Source organism: Homo sapiens, chromosome 18 (genome assembly GCF_000001405.40).
Source record: "Homo sapiens chromosome 18, GRCh38.p14 Primary Assembly".
NCBI lineage: Eukaryota > Metazoa > Chordata > Mammalia > Primates > Hominidae > Homo > Homo sapiens.
Genome location: NC_000018.10, coordinates 48,589,462 through 48,616,778, shown reverse-complemented (window position 1 = coordinate 48,616,778; position 27,317 = coordinate 48,589,462). Strand labels below are relative to the sequence as shown.

Sequence of the window (27,317 nt, the reverse complement as noted above, 5' to 3'; positions counted from 1 at the left end):
TACTAAGCAAAAGATTCACCCAGGGTTGGCTATGGGTATGAATGCTGCAATTTCTGCTAATAGTAGGAATGACGAGTGTCTGCTGTGCCTTTGTCATGTCCCAGACACGTCAGCACTTGATCTGCCTCCACTCACTTCACCTTCGCAGCAACCCTATGGAATCGGCATAATTATGCTACTTAGAAGAGAAAACGGAGGTTCAGAGAGATTAAGTAACTTGCCCAAGTTCACACAGGAGAGTTCCAGGTCTGCACGACTATGCCTATACCCCAACTGCCTTCTCTCCATCCCCACTCCTGGTGGCCTGCTCAGTCCCTCAGGCCACCTCCAAGTTCCCCAATTCCATACTGACTCGCCAGTGAGCAGTGAATTCTTCAAGTGCTGAGCATGTGCTTATTCCCCAGCTGGGCACAGGTTCCGGAGAGCTGGCCCCAAGCAGGCTCCGTGCCTGGCCCCGGGAAGCTGGCCTCCGCTGGATGGGAATAAAACCGCCGATGTCCAGAGAGGGCTGAAAAGGAGCCACCTGCAGGAGAAGTCAATACACAAGGCCACGCCCATTATTCCTGGAAGACGTCAGATCTTATCAAGGGCTCCCTGGCACACCTAACAGGTGCAGTCGGAGAACCGGGTTTTGCAGGAACTCTACACGGAGCCGTTTCCAGGAGGATTGAGTGCCAGGCTCTGCCTGCAGCAGCAGCCTCTGGCCGGCTCTGCGGGGCTCTCCCAAACATGCCCGAGTGTCTCAGGGCTGTGTCAGGGTCCCATGAGGGAGCCTGGGCATGGTCATCACCCCAAACCCATAATAGTTGCCGAGAAAGGGGACAGAATTGAGACCCATCCCAAACCTGCAGCCTTTTGGTGCCCCGAGGAAGGAAGAGGACTCGCTCTGCGGGTGCCTCTTGTGTCCTCACGTCCTCTCGGCCATTCCTTCTACTCTAGTGTTTGCTGCCCAGCCAGATTCACATGGGGTAGCCCAGCGGCGCCTCACCTCAGCTGCCCCGGGGTCTCCTGTCCAGGCTTCCTCTGCAGTCAGGAGATGCCTGCAGGAAGCCCCCGGCCCCTGGCACCTGCAACCCGGAGTATGAGGAGCTAGCGCCCCATGCGGCTGCCCTCAATGGGACAAATACTCCCCTTTTCAGTGTCTCAGACAATTCCAGGCATGCTCCACGTGGTCCCTCAGCAACTCCGAGTGGGGTGAGCCCCGTGGCCCACAGTGGCCGCCAGATCCCTAGCCCCCCTCACTTGTCGGTCCTCCCCTCCTTTTCACTCTCTCCCAGGGATTTCAGCTCCTCCAGGAACTCTCGTTTTCCAGGGGGAACAGGAGAATACATCACTTCCCTGTTCCGCAGCGGGGCCCAGAGAGGGAGTGGGGAGGCCCCAGCTTCAGAAAAGCGGGGAACATGCAAAGCAGAAAAGCCCCAAGCTTCATCTCAGTCACAAGAGAAGAAGGAGCAGAGAGAGGGAGAGAGCATGGCCCTCCTCTGCCCGTCCACCTCCACAGCTCTCAGCCTGGAAGTACAGCCCGGCACTTAGGCCCCCAATTTTTTATTATGGTCAAATATACACAACATAAAACAGCATTCAGCTGGGTGCAGTGGCTCATGCCTGTAATCCCAGCCCTTTGGGAGGCTGAGGCAGGAGGATCACTTGAAGCCAGGAATTTGATACCAGCCTAGGCAACATAGCAAGACCTCGTCTTTCCAAAAATTTTTTTAAAAATTAGCTGAGCATGGTCGCACATGCTCAGCTACTCAGGAGGCTGAGGCAGGAGGATTGCTTGAGCCCAGGAGTTTGAGGTTACAGTGAGCTATGATCGTGTTGCTGCACTCCAGTCTGGGTGACAGAGTGAGTTTCTGTCTGAAAGCAAAAACAAAACAAAACAAAACAACAACAACAAAAAAAACAACCAACCAACCAAACCAAACAAAACAAACAAATCAAAACCTTATAATCTTAACCATTTTTGAACACATAATTCAGTGGCTTTAAGTACATTCATAGTGTTTTGAGCCATCATCACTATCTATTTCCAGAACTTTTTTATCAACCCAAACAGAAACTCTGTGCCCACTAAACAATGAACTCTTCCTCACCCTTCTCTCTATGAATTTGCCTATTCCAGGTACCTCCTATAAGAGGAATCATGCAATATTTGTCCTTTTACAACCGATTTATTTCACTTAGCATAATGCTTTCAAGGTTTATCTACATTGTAACATGTATCAGAATTTCATGCCCCTTTATGGCTGAATAAGACATCGTATCACAATAGTACACTGCATATCTAGACCATATTTTATTTATCCATTCATCCACTGATGGGCATTTGGGTTGTTTGCACCTTTTGCTGTTGTGAATAATGCTGCTTTGAATATGAGTGTACAACGATCCCTCTGAGTCCCTGTTTATTCTTTGGGGTATCCACCTAGAAAAGTTCCAACACATTTTTAAGGCAAGACGAGTGTGGAGGAAAAGGGTAGAGCTTTCTCTGGCTGGTGGAGACACAGGGCAAGGGATGGTCTCCTCCAGGCTTGTTTTGCTGCCTTCCTGCCTGAGCTTTGGGGGTTTCAGCCTGGCTCAGTGTCTCATTCCCAGTAGGATCCTGATGGGAAGTCCCCAAACAGCTGGGCTGCTGGCTAAGCTGAGAGAGCCAGCCAGGAATTTATGTTTTAATGATCAGTGAAAGTCAAGAAAGGATGGAACCAGAGGCAGAAGGAAAAGGAAAAGAGGGAAGGTAGAAGAACACAAAAGACACGCCTCTCCCCTCCTCTCCCGGCTCTGCTCCGATTCCCTGCCAGGTGATGGATGAGGAGGAACTAAAAGGCAAGCAGCAGGAGTAGGAAAAATGCTGAGGTTGCACTTTGCTGTAAAGGGCACCACAGGGGCGGGCAGCCCTGAGTCTACAGCTGGAGGGGAGGGCCGGTGTGGGCACGGCTTTCTGGAGGACACAGAGGGCCCGGGCTGCAGCAGGACCTGCCCCAGAGCTCCTTCGCCTGTGCTTCCCAGAGAGGACCCAGGGCCGCCAAGCTTGGCCACATCTGTGTCTGTCTGGGGAAAGGGATGCATGCAGGCTCTCTTCCTGGGTCTGCATCTCTGTTAAACAACCTCATCCAGACTCGGCCGCCAGCCCAGGGACTCCCCACCTCCTGCTGCAGCCAATCACAGTCCGTGCTTGTCACAACGGCCCAGTTAGCCTGGCTATTTTTAAGGACAAAAATGAAAATCACCCATGTTCTTTGACAAAAAGGTGCCTCTCTCCACACTAGCGTCCCCTCCCCACCCTAGACGCAAACAAACTCCCCTTCGCCTTCCTCCCCTTCCTCCCCATCCCTTGCTGCTCTCAGCCCAGCACTCTGTAGCTTCCTTAGGAAACTAGTGTTCTGGAAGGGGTTTCTGTGAACACCGTGGGGCAGCCTGAGATGGTCGGTTGCCAGTCTCTCCCTCTAACCCCTGGCCAAGTCTGACTTTGAGTCTGACCTTCAGAGGCAGGAGGTCTGGAGGAAAAGGTAAGGCTGACATTGGAGAGCACCCACAGGCTAGAGACAATCAGTGGAGCCATCCCAGCCTTCTCAGTATCCTTTCCTGCCCACCCAGTGACAAACGGCATGAGGAGCTATCAATTTAGCCAATCCTTTTAAGAACTGCGAGGCATTAGGGGCATTACCTCCTCCTCCAATCCTCAGGGATGAGTTCAGTGACCTGCAAACCAGATGAAATGCATCTGCTCCAGGGCCTACCAGCACTTCTCAGGGAATCCATCATTCGAGGCCCGCACAGAGGCAGCACTGCACCCCACACTTCTTCAGGCTCTTTCCTCTCCACCCCCAGCACCCAACTCACTCCAGCAGCACACCCTTCTGACACCCCACTGAGGAAACCCAGGAAGACCCCAATTTCTGCTTCCTGGCTCATCTTTTGGCTTGTGGCTGCAGCAAGGGGTCCAGCCTCCTGTGGAACCCAGGCCCGCTGCAGGGGGCCCAGGTGGGGCTGCAGGGGGCTTGCTTGGTGACCGTAAGATCAGCAGCCTTGGGGCTCACAGGTCTGTCCACTCGTCCCAGCAGAACAGCAAGTCTGCAGTGGAGGTGGCATCGGAGCTGTGGTGGGCAATGGGGCCCAGAGTGTTGTCCCTGCTCTCCTGCTGCTAAATCCACTCATCACAGCCACTGGCGTCTTCACCCCACCTTCCTGTGGCCGCTTCCCATGTCACCTGGTGCTGCAAAGCACTGTGCTCCCAGGTTGCTCTCCAGCAAGCAGCTCCTGGTGACTATTATAGGCAGAGCTGGCTGCTGGCTTTCGGGCCCTGGTCCCCTCCATCCCCTCTCTCCTTCCCATCCCCACAGAGTGGGAGCAACACCTTCACCCAGAATGCACAATTGGGGCTAGAATTCTCCCTTGCAGGCTGTCAGGTGGCCCCCAGGGCAGGGCCAGTCCAGAGGCCATGCTGCCTGCTGGAGTGGGGAGGAGAGAGGCCAGGGTGCCCAGGCTCTCCCCGAGGAAGCCATGGGAGCCTGCTCACTGCCAACCGCGTCCCTCCAGCCCCAGTCCAGCCCACACTCCCCTTCAAGACTCCAGCGAGAATGTACTTCCCCGACAGTCTGCGGCCCTCAAGCTCTGGCCTGATAATTCAACCATGTTGGTGTTTGCCAAAGAAAAGCAGGAGGAAGCAGAGGCCTCCATGTGCAGGAGCCCCAGGTCCCCAACCCCTGGGAAATGGGAAAGTTCAGAAATGCATGAAGTCGAAGGCATGTGACCTTGGAAATTGGCAACATTTTCTGTCACAGGAGTCAAGGACATCTGACGTCCTCTAAACGTCTGATCCCCTGTCACCCCACCAAATTAACCCTTTTGTCACTCAAACATCCAACAGGGTGTTAGCTAGCATGGTGGTGTTCAAACTGCAGGTCTCAGCAATTTCATGAGCTGCAAAACAAATTTCCTGGGTCACGATCTCAGCATTAAAAAATGTATAACTAAATTGAAAATATCAGCATGTAGCACACATTGTAACTATCAATTTGTGGGACTTTTGTTTCACCTACCCATGAAAAACATATTGGCCGGGAGCACTGCTTCCGAAACTTTAATGAGTACGACAATCACAGGGCATCTTGTTACAATGCAGATTCTGGTTCAAGGATGGGAGTTGGGGCCTGAGACTCAGCATTCCTAACACGCTCCCAGGTGAGGCTGCTGCTGCCAGTCAGAGAACTACACTTGAAATAGACAAGATCTAGAAAATCTTGCACGTCTTCTTTATCCATTATTCAGATACTCTTGCTCTGGCCAGAGGGCTAGAAATGGGTGGAGTCCCCAGGCCAAACTTCTGGCCAGCTGGTCAGCTATCTGGTGAAGGGGCGGCTCCTCTTATGGCCCACGCAGGGCCCAGGGCGGAGCTCAGAACCAGGCATGACCTCCACAGGTTATTATGATCAGTGGACACTGGGGCCACCACCTCCACACTGGACTCTCAGGGCCAGGCGCATGACATGACAGCACCTGCTTACAGTCCTGCAACACCCAGCATGGAGCTCAGGCACATCTGCCAGGTCTGAACAAGTTGGAGGTAGTTCCTGATATCTATGCTGCCTGCCCTCAACAGCTCTTCAGCTGCTGCCACGCAGGTGAGGACACTGGGACCTTGGGGGCTGAAGGGGGAATGACGTACTGGGAGCCACTCAGGTATCTATGGGTAGAGCCAGGCTGCAATGCAGGATCCAAGCCTTTACATCCCTCAACAGCCTGCCTTCTCCAGGGACCCCTGCTGAGAGTCACCTTCCTTCCCTTAGTGACTCCTAAGCTCTGTGGACCCCAAGCGCAGTTCTGGGTTACAATCATCAACATCAGGCAGTTAGTGACATGACAGATACTCCTAAATAACAGATGACACCAAAATCATCCCATTGTCCTCATACCCTCCTGAGCCCCCACCCTGTGCAAAGCCCTGGACCAAGCCCTGTGGTCTCATCAGAACTTCATGGAAACAGAGCTGGGGCTTGGCACTTACTCCTCTGTCCCCAAGAGTAGCCTCCATGAGTCACTGAGGAGCTGGACCAGTTTTCATGAGGTGGGCAGGGCATGGCTGGCCGGAAGGCAAGGGAGATGCCATGGATTCTTTCCTGCTCAGCAGGCCTGCAGTGCTGGCACCCAGAATGGGGGCTGAGATCGGAGGCCCTGGAGAGGGAGGAAGGGAGAGCAGCCCGCAGGAGTGTGGAAGGTACAGGCCTCAGTCCCCGGGGGGTGCCTCATTAGATTCCTGGCTCCTGATGAGCACTTCCTCTCGGAGGAAGAACACTGAAACAGCAACCCACCCGGGCAGGTAGGCCTAGCCCAATAGGCGGGAGGGCATCCAGGTGGGCATCCAGGTGGGCATCCAGGTGGGCATCCAGGTGGGCATCCAGGTGGGCTCTGTGACGTGCAGGTCCTGCTTTATCCCTGGGTGCCCCTGTTTCCAGGTCTGCCCCCAAAGCCCATAGAAGCCTCCACTGGGCTCCAGCACTGACCACCCACCTGCTCCCTTGGCACCAAACCCAGGCTGCCTGGTGACACCTTCTCCTCCGCCTCTGGGCTGCTACCCAACTCTTGCCCTGCTCTTGAATTTTTTTTATAGGTTTTTGCCTGGTATTGATAAGACTGCGTAATCCTTGAGGGCCCTGCTCCATCCTACACCTGCTTCCATTGCAGGCCCAGAATGGGTAGACGGGCCTGTGGCTCCCCCAGCCCGCCCACGCCCTCTCCAGCACCGTCCTTCCCTCAGAGTGGGCCTCCTCAGCTCTTCCGCCCACTGCCAATGGGCCCGGGCTTTCCTCCAGCCCCACTCCCAGCTCCTAGAATGTTAAAGCCAATGGATGCTGGGAGTTGACTTGCTCCAGCCCCCCACACCCTCAAGGTCACCCAGTCCCAGAACCAGGACTCCAAACCTCTTCCCATGACATTCAAGAGCCTCCTCGAGACAACTCTTCCCAACTAAGACATACTGAGCATCTGCTGTATACACCCTAGAGGCACCAGGGACAGGGAAGTCATAGCTGAAACAAACCAAAACTGTGCAGGGCCACCAGACAGCTGGACAGCCATATCCCTGGCTGGAGTCAGGTGGCTTCCTCACTGCCCCCACTCGTAAAATAGGGTGACATCATGCTTATGGGTCCCGAGTCTGGGTTCCAGTGCTGGCTAAATCACCTTTTCTCTGCGTGCTGTTGGGCGGACTCTGGGCCTGCTTCCTCATGTTTAAAGTAGGCTGATGGTGAAAGTGCCACCTCATGAGGTGCTGTGAGAATCATGTGAAAGAATGAATGAGAAAAGTGCTCAACACCGCTAGGCATACATCAAGCACTCAATTATCAGTTGCAATTGTCACTCGACTTCACAACTGCTATACCTCACTCTGTCTTCTGCATTCTCTCCTACCTCTGCCTCTCCAAATCTCCCCTTTTCCCTCAAGGCCCACCTCTGGGCACACCTCCTCCCTGAAGCCCTCCTTGACTACTCTGGATATCAATGACGACTGCTATCTCTGAACCCCAGATCTCTGCAGATCTCACCACTCCCTAATGCCTCCCAACTCTGAACACCCTGAGTCCTCCTTGGGCCTCAGTCTGGCTCTCTCCTGTATTCCAATCCCTGGGTTGACCTGTTTTGCCAACCTGCAGGAACTCACAGAGATCCATTCTCTCTTCTGTGGACTCTGAAGGTAGATGGGTGAGCCCCACCACCAGCTGTCAAAAGCTTCTGGGTTTATTGGCCAAGAATGAAAATTAACTTGGAGCATGCTAGGAAGGGAAACCAATAGTGCCCTGCTCTGAACCCAGCAATGTGTCCACAAGCACCTGGGGTAAGGCTAGAAAGGGCATCCAAGTGTGGTGGCAGCAGCGCTCCAGGCCTTCCTTCTCAGGCAACGTTCTCTCTGGCATCTGTCTTGGGGTTTCCAGGGTCCCCAGTCAGCTTTCTCCCTCTTGGCAACAGCTCCCTGAACTACAGACCAGCTGGAGCAGAGAGAGTACCGAGCTGTTTCCAGAGCCTGGTGGGAGTGTCCACAGCCCAGAACAGGCTGTGCACAGGCTAGATCTCAGCAGGCTGTGGCCTTGCAGGCCTGTCCAGGTGGTCTTGTGCTATGGTTGCAAGGCAGAACTGGCTCACGTTCGAGAACAGCAACCCTTTCTCTCTACTCATCCTCAAGAACAGCTCAAGCCCACCTCTTAGATGCCACCCTGACCGGCCCAGGTCACAGAGACCCCTCAGAATGCTCATAGCAGCCACTCACTGGGCCCTTGGGCTTCTGCCTGCCCCCACCCCCCCACCACTTTCGATGACCGCCTTGTCCTGCAAGGAGCACAGTCACAAAGCAGAGATTGCTACCGCCTGTGCTGGGGCCACGTCTGGACCATGGTGTGTTCTGGTTAGCCAGTTAGATATTTTAAAAATATTTGAGCTAACGTTTATAAATCAAAATATTTCACATAAAAAGCCACAATTTCTGACTTTTCTTGAAAAAACTGGATGATCGAGCAACACTGGCCCACCTTCTTGCGCTGTAACCATCAGCTAGAGCTAAGAAGTGCTGTCCCCTTCAGACCAGGCAATCAACCCCAGTTCTCTGCAGACCCATACACTCTCTAATGCCTCCCCGCTGCTCACAGCCTCACTCTCACCTGGCTCCCTCACTCACACATGTTACCTGCCTGGCCCCTGTAAGGCATCCGAGTTCGAAAGTCCCCTGCGAAAGAGCAACTAACTGGAAGTGGTCTATGCCTACAAAAATGAGGGCTCCCCCTCAGAACTTGGAAATAAATCAGGACGAAGGATTGCCCTTGGGAGTTACACTGTGAAATAATACATGATAGTCCAGGTCCAAAACAGAAATATGCAAGGTCATTGCAAGCAGAAAGAAAAAAAGGCTCCAGACCAGCAGTACTCAACCATAACCTGGCTGAAGATAGCCACAGCTATTATAGAAGATGGTGTCACTCAGCAGAAACTCGGCTGTGCATACCCAAGCTCCTCCTAGGGACAGGGTGCTCCTGCTCAGTGTCTCAAGGGAGGAAAGGACAGCCCAGGGATGTCCCACTGCTCCTGTAATGCCCCCACCACCCTCCAGCTCAGCCTTAATGTGAGCTGAGTGGCTGCCTCCTTCCCCAGCTAAACTATGAGCTCCTGGAGGCTGAGGACCTGTCTGCTCCTTTCCTTGGACCCTGGGAGCCTGAGCTGACCTCACCATAGACATTCAGTTCCTCTTTTTGACAGTTTCATGATGGATTCCCAGAAAGTAGAAAATGGTCAGCAGCAGGTAACAAATGCTCTGCCCACCTTGGTATTAGCAGACGGCTGCTGATGGGCACAGATGGGTGGCACATTACAAGTGGACCCAGCAGACACAGCTTGGGTGTCAGAGGGCAGGCCCCTCTTCTGCCAGGGAGCCCTCATGTATCCCACACAATGCCTGAAGCATGCTGGACAGCAACCACAGGAATCTCAGACTTGATCCGGTGCCCAGCGCTCTTACAGCTCTCCCTGAATTCTCTACGAACCACAGGGAGGCAAAGAAATCGGCAGCAAAAGCCCAGGGCCCCTGATTCCTGGAGTGGCCTCCAGGCCCAGAGACAACACAGCACAGCTGCCTCTGCCTTTGCTTGGAGGACCCGAGGGAGGGAAACTCCTGCTCAAAGGCAGCTGCCCTTTGACCTTTCCTAAAGCAGGAAAGCAAATCATCAATATTGTATTCCCCACAGATTGTTGGTTTCCAAACTATTTTCCTCTAATATCATACTTGTTTTTCAAATGAAATTATAAACGACTCCCCCCAAATATATAAAAGATAATAAATACCTGTGTTTATTGAGAATTTAGTATGTGCCGGCCCCTGTGCTAAATGCTTGTCATATATTAATTTAATCCTCAAGATCATCCTATAATGTAGGCATTATTTTTGTCCCCCTTGTACAAATTAGGAAACTGAGGACACGAAGGGTTGCTCAAGGTCACCTGGCTAGGAAGAGGCTGGCTCAGAACTGAAACCTGGACAGAATGGCTCCAAGACATGGATACTCTGACCAAAGAGAGTGAGGGTCCCAGAGCTCCACTCCCTCAATGTGCCAGCCCTTGCCCAACATCCCCCATAAGCTGCTAGACCCTGTCGTCCCTCCTGGAGTGGGCATTGGAAACTGCTCCAGATCAAGCCTTTGGGTCCTGTCCAGGGTGCCAGAAGTTATGTACTCTCCAGGGAGTCCGAAGTCATTTAGGGAGGTCTGGAGGGTGGCACTGGGCCTCATGCCCCTGGAGTCTGCACAGCTCAGCATTGTCCTTCCTGCCAGTCAGCTCTTAATAACCCTGCGGCTGCAGTTAGGCAGAGCATGCATCACCACCCCCTGTTACCCTCCCATATGGGGACCCTGGAACAGTATGCCAGTGGCCCAGTGACAGGGCAGGATGATGACCCAGGCATCTGACTCCAATCCTGAGCATTTGCCCTGGACTAGCAATATCTCAGATTCCCACTCCTTGTGGCATGAACCAATGAGTCACTGAACGTTGCCCCCAGGTTGAGCTGAGATAGGGTAGGAGCTCTGAGGAAGGGGGAAAGGGACGGATGAGACAGGTGCAGTCCTTTTGAGCTGCAAAGGCTTCTTCTGGTTAGAGGGTATGAGAAAGCCAAGCTCTGCAGGCCACACATATTTGCAAGCCATATCCACTACCTTGTAGAACATAAAGCCCGATTACAGAGGCCTCCCACAACAGATTGCCAAGCCAGAGACAAGACCTCTTGGCCAAGGCCACATAGAAGGTTCAGGTATGGTTTCCTAGGGTTGGTTTCCCCAGTTACTTCTCTCTGGAACATGATCAAGTAATTGGGAAAACAGGCAGCCAGAAAAATCTAAGTTCCAGTTAATTCCATCAGGAACCCACTCTAGTGTGCGTGCTTGAGAACAGGGACCTTTTCGTTTTTCCCATCATTGTATTTCCAGGACCTGGTATGAAGTGGGCAATCAACAGAAGCCGGAAGGGAGGACTGTGGGCTCCCTCCGAGAGGCCCATGGTGGGCCTCTGTGACCTAAGAGCTCCTCCCACAGGCTAGTCTGGGACAGCTGCAGTGAGGAAGGACTCCCAGGTGCAGCCAGATGCCTTGCAGCAGAGAGCCCACAGGGGGCAGCTCCTGATGGCTGTTCTAATTAGTCCATCAGAGTCTTTGGTCTCTACTTCCCATTATTTCTGTGGTTAATTTCACCCACTAGAGCATGGTAGCAGCAGATAACCTCTTCACACACACAGCAGGAGAAGTCTGTAGCCAGATACAACCGCAGGGAGCAGGCTGAGTGGTTAACTGGCAGATAATTAACTGAGAAATCCCCCACAGCCATCTGCAAACTACACTGAGACATGGAGAAGGAGGGGATATAAGGCCAGAAAGGAGCCTCCCATAGCCTCAACTGTCACTGGATTTCACCCAGAATCCTAGAAGCTTAGAAGTAAAAAGACCTTACAAAGTATCGAGTCAAGTGTTGGAGAGGATGTGGAGCAACTGGAGTCCTCAAACACTGCTCATGGGAATGTCAGATGGTGCAGCTGCTGTGGAAAACCATATGGAATGGTTTGCAATTTCTTGAACCATTAAACATAAACCTTATGACCCAACAATTCCACTCCAGGTATATACCTGAGAAAAATGAAAACACATGTCTACATAAAAACTTGCACACAAATGTTTTTAGTACCATTATTAATAATAGCCAAAAGGTAAAATCTACACAAACATCCATCAACTGATGACTGGATAACAAAATATGAACTATGCATGCAATGGAATATTACTCAGCCATTAGAAGGAATAAAGTACTGATCCACGCTACCACATGGATGAACCTTGAAAATACAAAGCTAAATGAAAGAAGCCAGTCACAGAAGATCACATAAGATTTCATTAATATGAAATGTCCAGAATAGACACATCTAGAGAGACAAAAAGTAGAATGGTGTTTGCTTACAACTGAGGCAGGAAGGAGGCAGGGAGACAAGGGGGTGATAGCTAAAGGGTTTCTTTTAGAGGTGATGAAGGTGGTAAAGGTCACACATATCTATAATTAGACTGAAAACCATTTAATTGTATATTTTAAATGTGTAAATTATAAAATATATAAATCGAATCTGAATAAAGCTGTTAAAAAAGTAATGTACATGGATTGGCCCCATGATTATTGACTTGGGTTGGAATCTCTGGCTTAGTAGCTTGGAGGCCTCTCCAAAAAAACCATAGTTGTTAGAATCATCTAGGACCAAATGAATAAAAGAACATCAATGACAAGCCTTAAAACGCCGGGCGCAGGGGCTCACGCCTGTAATCCCAGCACTTTGGGAGGCCGAGGTGGGCAGATCACAAGGTCAGGAGATCGAGACCATCCTGGCTAACACTGTGAAACCCCGTCTCTACTAAAAATATACAAAAAATTAGGCAGGCATGGTGGCAGGCGCCTGTAGTCCCAGCTAATCGGGAGGCTGAGGCAGGAGAATGGCCTGAATCCAGAAGGCAGAGCTTGCAGTGAGCCAAGATCACACCACTGCACTCCAGCCCTGGGGAACAGAGCGAGACCCGTCTCAAAAAAAAAAAAAAAAAAAAAAAAAACCCTTAAAAAAAAAATCACGGAGTCAGCGGGGTGTGGTGGTTCACACCTGTAATCCCAACACTTTGGGAGGCCGAGGTGGGCAGATTGCCTGAGCTCAGGAGTTCAGCTCATGGGCAACATGGTGAAACCCCATCTCTACTAAAATACAAAAATTAGCCAGGCATGGCGGCATGTGCCTGTAGTCCCAGCTACTCGAGAGGCTGAGGCAGGAGAATTGCTTGAATCTGGGAGGCGGAGGTTGCAGTGAGCCAAGATTGCGCCTCTGCTCTCCAGCCTGGGCAACAGTGAGACTCCATCTCAAAAAAAAAAAAAAAAAAATTTCACTGAGTCTAGGCTCCCACTGAATCTGGAGAACTTGTTTGAAGCTTCCTGGAAGGGTATCTGTTGCCTCACCAAAGATGAGGATGCATCTCATGGTGCAGCTCCAGCCAGCCAGCAAGCCAGCCACCCATCTATATCTATTCATCCATCCATCCACCCAGCAATCCACCCACCTACCCACCATTCATCCATTCATCCATCCATCCATCCATCCATCCTTCCATCCATCCACCCACCCACCCATTCATCCATCTATCCACCCAGCCAGCCATCCACCCCCCCATTTATCCATCCATCCATCCACACATTCATCCATCTATCCATCCATCCATCCATCCATCCATCCACCCACCCACCCACCCACCCACCCATCTAGCCATCCATTCACTCACCTATCCATCCATTCATCCACCCATCTAGCCATCCATCCATCAATCCACTCATTCACATATCCATCCATCCATCCATCCATCCATCTACCCACCTATCTAGCCGTCCATCCCAATCCACCCATTCATGTATCCATCCAACCATCCATCTACCCATCCATCCACCCACCCATCGGTCCACCCACCTGCCCTGCATCCATCCATCCATTCATCCATCCATCAATCTACCCACCCACCCATTCATCCATCTGTCCATCCACCCACCTATCCACCCACCCATCTATCCATCCAACCATCCATCCATCCATCCATCCATCCACTATCTAGCCATCCATTCATCCATCCATTCACCCACCCACCCATCTAGCCATCCATCCATCCATCCATCCACCCATTCTTATCCATCCATACATCCATCTATCCATCCATCCACCCATCTATTCATCTACCCATTCATTCATCCACCCATCCATTCATCTACCCATTCATCCATCCATCCATCCACTCATCTAACTGTCCATTCACCCACCCACCTGTCTAGCCATCCACCCATCCATCCACCCATTCTTATCCATCCATCCATCCATCCATCCATCCATCCATCCATTCATCCATCCATCCATCCATTCATCCACCCATTCATCCATTCGTTCACCCACCCATCCATCCACCCATATGTCCATTTAAAAAACACTAACTCAAGCTTGGTATTGAATGTTACGGACACAAAACGAAGGGCAGAGAAGCGATCACACAGTTATGACATCAAGGGTCAAGTGCTACAGGGGCCCAGAGAAGCAGCACCAACATAGGAGAGAAACACCAAAAACGTTATTTTTGATCTGCTTGCTCCACTTGACAGAAAAATGAAAACACAACTATTAGACATTAGAACTAGAAGAGATCTTAGAAAGCAAAGTCATCAACTGTAAGGCTCACCATTATTTTATGAACCACAGAGAAAATATGCTGTCAATTAAGCTATGCCATAATGCCTTCATGATAGTCTTACATGTAGACAAATTGCTCACGCAGGCCTCACCTGGCTCTGAGACTGTTTCATCTCTTCTGAGTCAACTTCTGGCAATTTCTTCCACCTTTCGTGGCATTGTTTAGCATGCATGAGACTGACAATTCTTACTGTTTTATGAGATTGCAGTCTTTCCTCCAACAATATTTGCTTCTCTAATATTAAATTGGTGCCCCACTGCTCTGTCTTCTGGCCCTTCTGCTAATAAATCATGATGAGACCCTTTTGTAGACACCTTTAACGACATTCATACTCAATACATGGCTAATCAACAACAAACCTCTTTTAATGGAGGATGTGACACTATGAACAGTAGGCCCATGTTCACACAGGCTCAGGCCATGACGACTATGTCCTGCCTGTCATCTGGCAACAGCAAGGGTGCTATGCCAGCGATAGTAAGATGCAGCCTGATTTAAGAAACATTAAGATGTGAAATGAACATGCCTCCTAGCATCAGTGAAACGAGCAAGCCAATTCTTCATATTATAGGTGAGGAAACATACCCACAGAGCTATGATATGACACACCCCAAATCCCAGAGCCTGGACTAAAATTCTTGCTTCCTGAGATTTGTGCCAATGTCTTTTATTTCTCATCCCTCAGGCTGCCTCCAGGAAACTGCCATCCCTAAGCTTGTCTTCCATTTTCTTGCTTCAAAACAAAAGTGTTTTAGAGCATACAAGACAGTGAGTTGAACATATCAGTATATGCAGTCTTGGTCCAAGAAGCCAGTGAGGGTGGGTGATGGGGGCCCTTGTCTCAATGCCATCTCAGAACCCTGCTTCAATGTGTCAGTAAGCAAAGAAAGACCATTAGTTTATAGCTGTCCTGAGACTGCATTTCCACTCCCCACAGGCTGGTCCCCAGGCTGTCATTCAATAATATTGTGCCATGTTTACAGATGAGGCTGGCCAGATGTTTTCTCAGACTCATATAACTCTCCCTACAGGAAGGACCCTCGGGGGGACAGCTTTCCCATCAGATCGCCTATGAGAAAGTCTGGCAACGCCCTTGCCAAACCCAGTGTTAAAAATCATTATTCCTGTTGTGCACGCACAGAATATATAGAGATCAGAAGGCTGCTAAATTGATTCTCAGTGTCTAAACATGCGGTCAGTACATCTACCTCACAGAGCAGTAGATCAAGGTGGGGGAAAACACATTTTTCTTTTGGGAGCCTGGAATCGCCGGGCTGGACCCTTGAAATTAACACAGATTAACACGATCAGGTCCTCTTTGCTTCTACAAAAGCTCTTTTTACTTTTCCTATAGCTAGATAAAGAACGGGCCTAACACCTTAGTGGTGAGGGCAGATCTCAGTTCAGCTGAGCTGAGATACCCTTCTCCGCAGGCCAGACCAAAGCCTGAAAGGACCATCATCCAAATTGGAAATGTGTCTACCCAACACGTAGGAGAGCAGTGGCCTAAGGAAACACAGTGTCTACGTGGCTGAGAGAGCAAGGAGGCGCCTCTCAGATTTCAACAAGCTTAACATTCTCACCAGGGACATGCCAATGTAAAATGTCACCAGTATGAGACAGGCTGCACTGGGATTGATGTAGCAGGAGGCTACTCAGGGCTGGCTGGGAATATTGCAGGGAAAGGGAAGAACTGGTTTGGCTGCAAAAGATAATGAAGAATTTGTCTATCTCATCCAGCACTATTCAGGAGAGGGGATGGAGAGACTGCCAGGAAAAACCCCAGCATTCCAGTCTGATTTATAGTGACAAGCCAAGAACAGAGCTGGGGACACCGAGATATCAGAGCTCAGAAGAAATATCCCTTCAGCTCACCCAGTAGCCTTTGCTCTGGCTCTGTCCTTGACTCAAAGCGCAACAAACGCCTGTCACTTCCTCAGTGTCTGCCAGGCACTGTGCTAGACCTTGGGATACCAAGGCGAATGAGAGATGGGCTCTGCTCAAGGACATCCCCAGAGTGGCAAGGAGAAGACAGAGTATGAAGTGACAAGGACAGCATAGGAAATCCTGCCCAGAGCCACATCTGCTTGCTCCAACTGACAGAAAATTAAAAACACAACAGTTACAAAGGTGCCCATGGGGAGTGACACACAAATGAAGCACATACAGACACAGGCTTCGGAGCTCATCGCCACCGCCACATGACCTTCAGGAAGTTCCTGAACTCTTGAGGCCTCAGTCTCCCCAGCGCCAAGTCACTCTTGTTACTTCCTGTGTCAGCCCCAGCTCCCCACCCTGGGAGCTCCCTAGAAGCAAGCAATGATGGGGCGCATCTATTGCATGCCTCGGGGGTTGGGGGCAGACTCTGCACACACTCAGGTTTGATTGCTTTTAGTGCTCTCAACCCCATGGGGTGCATGCTATTAGTCTCTCCAATTGACAGTGAGGAATCAGAGGCATGGAGATTATTAGACACATTGGTTGGCAGCTAGGTGAGTTGTCCCTTCTCACCTCACACCCTCAAAGTGGATTGGCCACTTGGAGGGTGTCACAGGTAGGAAAGCTTTGAGGTCACTGGGCTGGCTCAGGGAAGCCCCGTGACAGGCCAGGTAAGGCTGGGTCACGGCACCCTCTGTTAGGGCTCATCACATCACACTGGGGGCCTTGTCCATCTACGCAAGACACAGGGGTCACCCTTTCGCCTCCTAACTCCAGCACATGGTACCCACCCTGTCGCTAGAGGAGATCTCCTTCTAATCCTCTGGATCCTGTGAGCACAGCCAGGTGCCTGTGGACATGGGCAGTGCAGAGGCCAGCTGAGCAGGAAGGTGCTGGCATGAGGGGGACAGTCTGGTGGGCACTAAGACGTGCCCACACTCAGCTACAGACATGGCTTGCTAGCTTATTCAGCCCTCAGGAATTGTTTACGAAGGGCTGTAATAACCCGGGATTGCTCATGACACCATGATATGTAGGAAAGAAAACACAATTTTTAATAGACCCTGAAATCTCAACTACATGAAAATACATAGAAATAGGACTGTAAACTACAAATATCCAAAGACATCTTTCAGAGGTGGTATTAGGACTAACTTTTCTCCTTTTGCTGTTTCTGTATTTTCTTTTTATCTCCCCAAAATGAGATTTTGGCATTTTTATGAACAAGAAAAAAAAAAACCTTTAAGAGGAAAAATGTAAAGGTTGGCTGTTGACCCCCCTGGCTAGAACACTGGTTCTGAGGAGTCTGTGTCCTTTCAGATCCGGTCACATGCTGGACATACGGAGGGCATGCCTATCAGTGTGAGGCCCCGGCCACACCCTGGGCCAATAGAACCATCTGCTCAGACTCCTCCAGCAACACTGCTTTACAGTTCGCCAGGCCTTTCCAACACCCATGAGCTGATCGGCAGAGAGGAGATTTTCTGCTCTGTTAAAGCTCTCAGGCCCCCGTCGGGTGGGCAGTCCTCCCACGCAGAGAGGTCTAAAGTCTTCAGGTCAAAGGTGGCGGCATCCTATCCATTGATCACTCCATGCACCACTATTGAATCTGGAATCTGCTCCACTCGTATAGGGGCAGGGGTGAGAAAGAGTCTTGCTGGGATTGTCCCCTGCCCTTTCTCCAGGAAAAAGGCTGGGGTTGGAGGTGGAGACTAATCACAGTGTCTCCGTTCTGGGTCTCTTGCAAGGAAGATAGTCCCCATAAAGTACTTTTGGCCCATGCTGAATACTTCACTACATTCAAGAAATGCTGATGTCCTTATTGGTGCTATCATGCTCATTCTTGCCCTGCGTGCTGTTATAGAACCCTCTCTGTTGACCACAATGGTAAGTACAGGAGCCTGCCCGCCCACACCACCATGCCGTTTCACCGTTTCATGGCCCTCTGAGCTGCAGATCCTTCTGGCTGGCAAATACCAAAGGGTTCCCAAGTTCTGACCTTAAATTTTAAATGCACAGAGATGATACCTGCCATGAGCTTATTGCTGGCTCCCCTCAACCTCAGCAGGCCCTGCTGCATATATTCTGAGTCTGTGTATTGCTGGAGGCAGGACAGGCTTCATGCACTCCTGAGCATCCTTGGAAGGTGCTACCTTGGCCTCAGAGCGGAGAGGTGCCTGCCACACCTTCTCTCCTTGCTAATGACAGCACACTTCCAACTTCCTTCAGGCTGAGCCTCTGAAAACTTAAATATGAATGAGCAGAAGTTCACAGGCTAAGTTAGGTGGTTTTGATTGTTCGTTTGTGACTTATAAAGCAACTATGGTTCAGGGGATGCCTGTGATGTTCCTTAGGTTGCCAAGTAGGAAAAATCTGGAGCCCTGGTAAGACCATCAGAGCCTCCGCCAACTCCCCATTACCCTCAGCTGGGGTTTCCCTGCCCACCCAGGCCATCTACCCACTGTTTCAGAGTCTGGAGCTTACTGCAGGCCCACTGGAAGTCTAAGGGTTTGGCTTCAGGGTGCCGCAGCCAGAAGATGAGCTGGAAAGGCTGAAAGGGCATTGGAATAGAGGGTGATAGAGGCTCCATCCTAGGCCCTGCTGCAGGCAGAGATCCGTCCCCTGCACTGGCCACTGGGTCTCCTCATCTGAAACAGCCAAGTTCTCAGGCTGGAAAAGAGAACACCCAGCGTTGGCCCTCCTCCAGACAAGAGGGCTGGAGCTGCATGCCAGCACACAGGCTGCTTCCTCAGCCCATTCTGCCCAGACAACTGCTATCCACCTGTGTTAGGCCATTCTCACATTGCTATAAAGGAATACCTGAGGCTGGGTAATTTATAAAGAAAAAAGGCTTCATTGGTTCATGGTTCTGCAGGCTGTACAAGCATTGCACCAGCATCTACTTGGCTGCTGGGGAGGCTTCAGGGAGCTTTCACTCATGGCAGAAGGCAAAGTGAAAGCAGGCACGTCACATGGCCAGGGCAGGAGCAAGGCAGGGGTGGGGCGGGGGGAGGGTACCACACACTTTTAAACCAGGTCTCACGTGAACTCAGGGAGAGAGTTCGCTTATCACCAAGGGGATGGCACCAAGCCATTCATGAAGGATCCATCTCCATGATCCAAACACCTCCCACCAGGCCCCACCTCCAACACTGGAGATCATATTTCAACATGAGATTGAGAGGGGACACATATTCAACACATATCACTACCCTTCAAGTCCCAGCCTGCATGCCTTCCTTCCCAGGGCTGGCTTTCTGGTGACTGTTAGCTGACTGGTCATCTATCCAGTCACAGGTCTGTCTCCCGCTGGAGGCTGTGGTTCCCTTAACTCTATGTCTTCCTCCTTTTCCTGCTGCCTCATGCAAGGTAGGCAGTCAGCAAATCGATGATAAATGAATGAGGCAGTGAACGAAGAGGCCAGTTGATGTTACACTTCTTCGTTCACTGTTCTATCCTATGTTGCACTAGAACTTTATCCTCCAACATTTGCCCCTTATTCCACCCACTCAGCATCCCCAGGAGACCAGGAATTTGGGGCAGGGCCCACATGATGCAGTGGAGGTGGAAGATATGGCTTTACACCTTCAGGTTGAGGAGCCATTAAAAACAGCAGTCACTGCTAGTTGAATCTGGAAAATCCATTCTCTCCTTCCTTATTAACAGAATCCTTATAACACTGGGGGAGAAAATGTACCTAGAGAAAAACTACATTTTGCAGCCTCCCTCACAGATAGGAGTGACCAATGAGGTGTAAAGGGAAGTTACTGAACCCTTTAAAGGAACTGATTCCAGACATGTGCGGTGGCTCACGCCTGTAATCCCAGCACTTTGGGAGGCCGAGGTGGGCGGATCACAAGATCAGAAGATGGAGACCATCCTGGCTAACACAGTGAAACCCAATCTCTACTAAAATACAAAAAATTAGCCAGGTGTGTTAGCACACACCTGTTGTCCCAGCTACTCGGGAGGCTGAGGCAGGAGAATCGTTTGAACCCGGGAGGCAGAGGTAGTGAGCCAAGGTCCCGCCACTGCATTCCAGCCTGGGTGACAGAGCAAGACTCTGTCTCCCAAAAAGAAAAAAAAAAAAAGAAAGAAAGAAAAGAAAAGGAAAAGGGACTGATTCCATTGGCACATGCCTTTTGCTCTTCCCACTTTCTCTTTCTTGTCTGGATTGTGGATGTGATGAATGGAGTTCCAGCAACTCTCTTGGGCCATGAGACAACTTTGAAGATAGCGGTCAACTATTACACAGGGCAAAGCAGAAAGATAGAAAGAGCTTGGGCCCCTGTGATCACAGAGCCCTCACACGAGGCCTGAGCTGCCTGCCTGTAGACGTAAGAAAGAAATAAAGGAGTATGTTGTTTAAACCTCTGTTCTTTGGATTTTCTGTTCTATGTCACCGTGGTAAGCAGCTTTCTAAGATGGTGTTGAATAATCCTTGCCTCCTCCCATTCATGATCTGTGTAATCTCCTCCCTTGACTGTAGGCTGAACCTGGTGACTTGCTTCTAACAAATAGAGTATGACAAAGGTGATAGGATGTCACTTCTGTGATTCAGTTACAAAAGACCATGACTGCCACCTTGTTGACTCTACTGCCTCCTCAGCTTGCACGATTTGATGAACCAGCTGCCATGCTGGAGAGGAACTGTGGACAACTCAGTCCAACAGGCTGCAAGGAACTGAATCCTGTCACCACCCACACACATGAGCTTGGAAGTGGCTCTTCCCGCAGTTGAATATTGCCTCAGCTGACACCTTGATTGCAGCCTCGGAGAGATCCCAGAGCAAGGGATTCAGCTAAGCAGAGCTCCAATTCTTTACCAGCATAAACCATGAAATAACAAATGTATGTAGTTTAAGGCTGGGCACAGCACTTTGGGAGACCAATGTGGGAGGATCGCTTGAGTCCAGGAGTTCGAGACCAGCATGGGCAACATACAGAGACCCCAACCCTACAAAAAAATAAAATATTAGCCTAGTGTGGTGGTGTGCACCGCTGGTCCCAGCCATTTGGGAGGCTGAGGCAGGAGGATTACTTGAGACTGGGAGGTTGAAGCTGCAGTGAGCTGTGATCACACCACTGCACTCCAGCCTGGGTGACAGACTGAGACCCTGTCTCTCTAAAAAAAATTAATTAATTAAAAAATAAATGTACGTAGTTTCAGCTAAGTTTTGGGGTAATTTGAGGGGTAATTTATTACACAGCAATAGACAGCACAACCAACAATCCTAATCCTAACTGAGACCTGGAAGGGAGCCGCTCCCACTCTCCCCTTTGCTCTCAGTCCCCTCGTCTGGATAAGAGGCTGGGCTGGGTGAGCTCTAAGGTGCCTGCCACCTTTAAAATCCTAGAATCCTATGACTTACCCAAGGATAGGCCACAAGAAGCCCAGGTGCCAGGTCCCCTGACCCCATCCCTTGGGTGGCCAGGCTCGGGGGTCCATTTCCTCATGCCTGCTTAGTGCTGATTCTTTTGTTCATTGTGACTTGATGCTTCGAGACAGGGAAGGGAAGACGGATGTCAAGATGACCTTTCCAATGCCTGGCACCGGAGACTTGGCACCACTCAGCTCACGGCCACCTCCCTCTTGGCAGACTGGAGGCCTTCAGGGCCCAGCAGGCCCTGACAGCAACTCCTGCAGTTCATCAAGACAAGGGCCTCAGCTCTCTCAGCCTGGCCCCAGGGACTTGCAGCACATCCTCAGGGCATGCTGCAGCCTGACTGAACGCACCAGGTGAGGAGGAGGCCCAAGCGGGGCAGTTCTCGTTCCTTGGATAGTTCTAGTCTTCTCGATCTATCAAAAATAAACTCCTGTGGGGAGCTCAGATTGGGCCAGCTTCAGGATGGGCACAGGAGGGGGACAGTTATCTGCTGTGGGTGCATGGATTTCCGGCACCTTGCTTTTTGCCAACAAGGTCACAACGTGCACCTGGTGTTTCCAAGTGAGGAGGGAAGGGGCAGAGGCCGGGATGGAGGGAGGGTTGGAAAGTGGTGGCTGGAGAATGTGTGAGGACTCATTCCAGAAATCCCTACGCTGCCCTAAATGCCAGGCCCCACAAACAGCTCAGGCCTCAGCCCCTGGGCCTCTGCCGGCTACTCCATAGCCATTAGGCCAGCTCACAGACCTGCCACGTGGCAGTCAGGAGCACAGATCCATGCTTCAACAACTGTGGGGCCTGGAGCAAGCAGGACTGGCTATATAATTTTCGAGGCCCAGTTGGGGCGGGGTGGGGTGGGGGTGGGGAAGAATGAAGGGCTTCTTGCTCAAAATAAAAATTTCAAAACAGTGACTATGGAGTATTAACCAAACATGAACCCTTCTGAGTGTGGGACCCCGTGCATCCGCATGGGGTGCAGGCTCAGGAAGCCAGCCGGTGAGCAAGGCATCCCCCAGGACCCGCCGGAAAAGGGTAGGCCAGACTGCAGCCACAGTTCACGACACCAAAGAAACTGTCTGCTGCACATTGCAGGAGTGGGGGAAGGGGGCAGATAGGAGGGGGGGCTTGTGTTCATAGGAGGGATCTGTGGCACAGGAGAGGTAAAAATTCACCTCTTTGGTCCATGTCATCTGGTTGATAGGAAACAGTCCTCTAAGAAATTGTTCAGGAGCCTCTATCACACAGTGCATAACTAAATGCCAGATATTCTGAAAGAAAAGGATCTGAATGGGTTCCCAGCATCACTGGGCCTGGCCCTAACCCCACCTGAGGCAAAGGTATATCCTCACCTTGGCCTGCTCACCTCAGCCAGCCACCTTCATCTATAGGCCTCATTCCTATATCTATAAATAAGAATAATATCTTAAAAAAAAAAACAAACAAAAAACCTCCCAGAGTTTAAGAACATAAAAGTCAGCTTTAAAATACAAAAGAATTCGAATTGGCCGGGTGTGGTGGCTCACACCTGTAATCCCAGCACTTTGGGAGGCTGAGGCGGGCGGATCACGAGGTCAGGAGATCGAGACCATCCTGGCTAATACGGTGAAACCCCGTCTCTACTAAAAATACAAAAAAATTAGCCGGGCATTGTGGCAGGCGCCTGTAGTCCCAGCTACTCGGGGAGGCGGAGGCAGGAGAATGGCATGAACCCGGGAGGCAGAGCTTGCAGTGAGCCGAGATCGCGCCACTGCACTCTGGCCTGGGCGACAGAGCGAGAGTCCGTCTCAAAAAAAAAAAAGAAAAAAAAAAGATTTCTAGTTACATATTATTAATATCAATAATGATGACAATAATGAGGATAATTTTGCTTTAATTCAACCAAGTCCTTCAAATGCACTACAAACTTGCCCTTTTCTGCGAAGTCTTAAGAATCCCAGCGGAGGTGTTGACGCCCCTGCTCTCCATCTTGGGTGCGTTCCCCAGCTGAGGGTCTCCCGGGCATTTCTGCCAACTGTACACTGACCAGAGGGAATCTCCGCCTGAGCTTCCTCCTGCACCTTGAATGCTGCCATGCTCCCACCAGATACAGAGCCCCCTGATGATGCCCAGGGTGAGAGGAACAGGAGAAAACTTCACAGGCATCCTCTAAAAATGTTCCTGCTCATCTGAAGGCAGGACATGGGCTGTATAGACACCAGCCCAGCTGTGGTTCCACTGCTTCTGGGCCTCCCAGATCCCCGCTGCCTCCATTCCCTGATCCGCGGCAGCCTGCCTCTCCGGAACAAGAGGAAGCCCCCAGATGTTTTGCAGCGATTCCCTTTGTTCCTCTTTCCCTGGGGCCCAAGGAGCTAAAGGCCACCTGTGAACGGCAGGCAGGCTTGGATTCTTCCCGGCTGATGAGAGCGATTAGTCCCCGCCACTCCCTGCTAATCGCTATCCTCAGCACTGCCAGGCAGAGGCCTGCACACAGTCTCCAACTGTTAACAATGACAAAAGTTGCGTGTCATGGGAATGACAGTGGCCGAGGCAGGCTCGCGCTGGTTATTAATCCACTCACTGCACTTGAGTGGTTGCCCACGCACAGCTTCTCCCATGAGGCCAAGCCCCAGCATCCACTCCTTGCCCACATGGGAACGGAAGGCCAGGGAGAGCTGTTTTCTTTTTCTTTTTCTTTTTTTTTTTTTTTTGAGACAGGGTTTCACTCTTGTTCCCCAAGCTGGAGTTCAATGGCGCAATCTCGGCTCACCACAACCTCTGCCTCCTGGGTTCAAGCGATTCTCTTGCCTCAGCCTCCCGAGTAGCTGGGATTACAGGCATGCGCCACCACACCCAGCTAATTTTGTAGTTTTTAGTAGGTTTCTCCATGTTGGTCAGGCTGGTCTCAAACTCCCAACCTCAGTTGATCCGCCCACCTCAGTCTCCCAAAGTGCTGGGATTACAGGTAGGTGTGAGCCACTGCACCCAGCCAGGAGAGCTATTTTCAAACCAACCCAGGAAGCTGGGGTCTCTCGGCAGCTAGAGAGCTTTACAATAAGGTATTCACTGGTATCTAGGTTAATTGGGTCAAGGGTGAGAACTGCTCCTAAAACCCACAGATAATACCGGGGTGTTTCAGTAGAAAAAGCACAGCACTGACCAGGCATAGTGGCTCACACCTGTAATCCCAGCGCTTTCCGAAGCAGAGGCAGGAGGATCACTTGCAGCCAGGAACTTGAGACCAGCTGGGGCAGCAAAGTGAGATCCCATCTCTACAAAAAAAGAATTTTTAAACTAGCTGGGCATGGTGGTGCATGCCTGCAGTACCAGCTGCTTAGGAGGCTGAGGTGGGAGGATTGCTTGAGCCCAGGAGCTGGAGGCTACAATGAGCTATGATTGTGCTACTGCACCCCAGCCTGGGCCACAGAGCGAGACCCTGTCTCTAAGAAAAAAGAAAAGAAAAGAAAAAGTGCAGCACCAGAAATGCAAAGGGCTGGGTAGGTCCATTACTTACTCTAACTATCAATTTCCAAGTCTGTAAAATGGGGTTACAAGTACTGGCCCTGCCTACCTGCCAGGGTTGCATGAGGAAATGCGCACCACAATGATAGCTATGTGAGTGGCTACTGGGAGCTAAGCCTTTAGCTGCACTCTCTTCAGTTCTGCCTCTAATCTGAAGAATGGATCCCTAGAAATGAGGAAACTGAGGCTCAGAAAGGTTCAGACACCAAGGTCACACAGCAGGTAAGGGCACATACTGGACGTGGGGCCAGGGACCTGCCAGGCTGGTGTTGACCTTTTCTTGATGCTGAGTCTGTCTTCTCCCATGTGTCCTGCTCAGAGCTCCAGGCCAGCCTGTTCTGTCCTTGTGGGCAGCCATTGCCTGGAGCGGTGGGTACCACATCAGAGGGTGGCCCATCCACAGCCAGCCTGGGACCCACAAGGTGGGGTGATGGGAAGACTGCCTTAGAAGAGTCAGGGTAATTATAATGAGTGAGGCCATCGGACTGCCTCCTGAGTAGATCTGAGCTATAGAACATGAGATGGGTCAGCCAGTCTCCATGGACAAGGGAGATGGATCAGTCACTAGACAGGAGCTGAGACGTGCTAGGAGCATCTTCCCACACTTCCCAGGTTGGTTTGGAAATAGCTCTCCCTGGCCTTCCCTTCCTGAGAGAGCAGGTCCCAGGGGCTTCCTCCATTTCTGAGATCTGCCTGTTTCAGTCCATATGCACCTTGCAACATGTCCCGTAATGCTGTGTCTGGCTGTGTCTGGCTGACTCCAACTCTCACTCCATGGCTGTTGTCCAAGTTCCTCTGGGAGAGGACTGATATTCACACTATGGGGTAAATGACTAACATAATAAGCAGGTCTCAGTGGTGGGGGCGGGGTGGAGGGTGAGGAGTGGCAGAAGCCAGTGGAGCCTGGGAAGTAGCACAGAAAGAGGGGCAGGAAGTCATCCGAAATGGATGTCTGCTTTTTCCCAATTTGCGTGCTCCCGAGGGTGTGGCCATCCTCTTCTGGTCTCTGGCGAAGGTGGTGCCTGGAGGGAGTCCCACCCTGATAACGGCCTGGCCTCCTGGGCAGCATGGTTCCAGGGAAGGGCAAAGGATTTGATGTCCAGAAGCCCAAATCTAGTGGCTCTGCCATTAACTGTGTGACCTTGGGCAAGTCACCGCCCTGGGCCACCCCAGTCTTTCTTCTCTGCAGAAAGGGTGCACTGGACTATGTCACTCCGAGGCCCTGTCCAGTTCTGATCCTTCCAATTCTGAGGTGTTTGCTCACTTTCTTCCCAGCCCCCTTTCCCACAGGCCTCCTGGTTGACACAAAGGCAGGGGCAGGCCAGTTCCGGGCAGGCCCAGCAAGGTCCATGCCCCTTGGGCACCAGCTGCGCTGCACAGCAGGCCCTGCTGTCCTAGCTCTGGCTCCGGGCCAGTGTTCTGCCCTTTCTGGCATCCAGTGTGGCCCCAGAGCAGCAGCTGAGGCTGGATTCCAGACTAAATATGGAGCCCCAGAGCCAGGCTTCTGCCTCATGAGGCTTGGGTCCCAAACTTCCACGGCTATGGACTCGCATACCACCACGCCCCCGCACCCCTGAAATGCTGATCCACAAACTCTGCACATGGGCAAAGGCCAGACACAGGTCAGGAGGGCCAGAGCAACAATGAACTTCCAGAGCAATCAGAAAAACAGCAGCACGAGGCACTCGCCTGTAAAGGAAAGCAGGGGCAGGCCTACCAGCTCAACCCAGCAGTGAGGGACGCATGACCGCACGTCCCAGAGCACGAACAAGCTTAGTTTCCAAAGGGGAAAATGACAAAAAGTGAAAGAATAAAAGTGATGCTTCCGTGAGGTGGCTCTGCCCCACCCTAGGCTGAAATGTATAATCTCACCTGGAAAGATGGCCCAGGTGACCTCTGTCCTCCATCTCCCAGCTCCCCCCACACAAAGAAGCATCCAAGACTAGCAAAATGTTTATTAATGATACAGGTCTTACAAATACAATGCTGAGAACTTTCAACCTCAAAGGCCAGCTAAATCCACCCACAAGGTGAACCAGTGTGACCCACACCTCACGGTCCCTCTCTAGCACCACAAAAACAAGTGACATGGACCACACTGCATTAGCTCAGCTGTGTCCTCCCTCCTAAAAGGCATGTTGGACCCCTAGTCCCTAGGACCTGTGAATGTGGCCTTATTTGGAAATAGGGTCTTTATAGATGTAAACAAGTTAGGATGGGGTCAT

General features: G+C 51.2%; 1 protein-coding gene across 23 annotated transcripts in view, besides 2 other annotated features; it reads right to left on the bottom strand.

Annotated features, from left to right (window-relative positions):
- Positions 1 to 27,317, bottom strand: part of CTIF (cap binding complex dependent translation initiation factor) — a 324,187-nt gene that overhangs the window by 246,439 nt on the left and 50,431 nt on the right. For 4 of the 23 annotated variants that reach the window (XM_047437961.1, XM_047437964.1, XM_047437967.1 and 1 more), the window contains exon 2: positions 353 to 523. The exons of the other annotated variants lie outside the window; for them this stretch is intronic. The gene's annotated coding sequence lies outside the window, so the exon portion shown is untranslated. The remainder of the gene's footprint in view (positions 1 to 352; positions 524 to 27,317) is intronic. 23 annotated transcript variants of the gene reach the window in all.
- Positions 838 to 1,379: an enhancer, noted in NCBI's record as "H3K4me1 hESC enhancer chr18:46141771-46142312 (GRCh37/hg19 assembly coordinates)". NCBI's record gives its function as "activates a minimal SCP1, AML or CMV promoter by ChIP-STARR-seq in naive H9 embryonic stem cells {active_cell/tissue: H9 hESC(naive)}" and the evidence as "EXISTENCE:reporter gene assay evidence [ECO:0000049][PMID:30033119]".
- Positions 4,466 to 5,281: an enhancer, noted in NCBI's record as "H3K27ac-H3K4me1 hESC enhancer chr18:46137869-46138684 (GRCh37/hg19 assembly coordinates)". NCBI's record gives its function as "activates a minimal SCP1, AML or CMV promoter by ChIP-STARR-seq in primed H9 embryonic stem cells {active_cell/tissue: H9 hESC(primed)}" and the evidence as "EXISTENCE:reporter gene assay evidence [ECO:0000049][PMID:30033119]".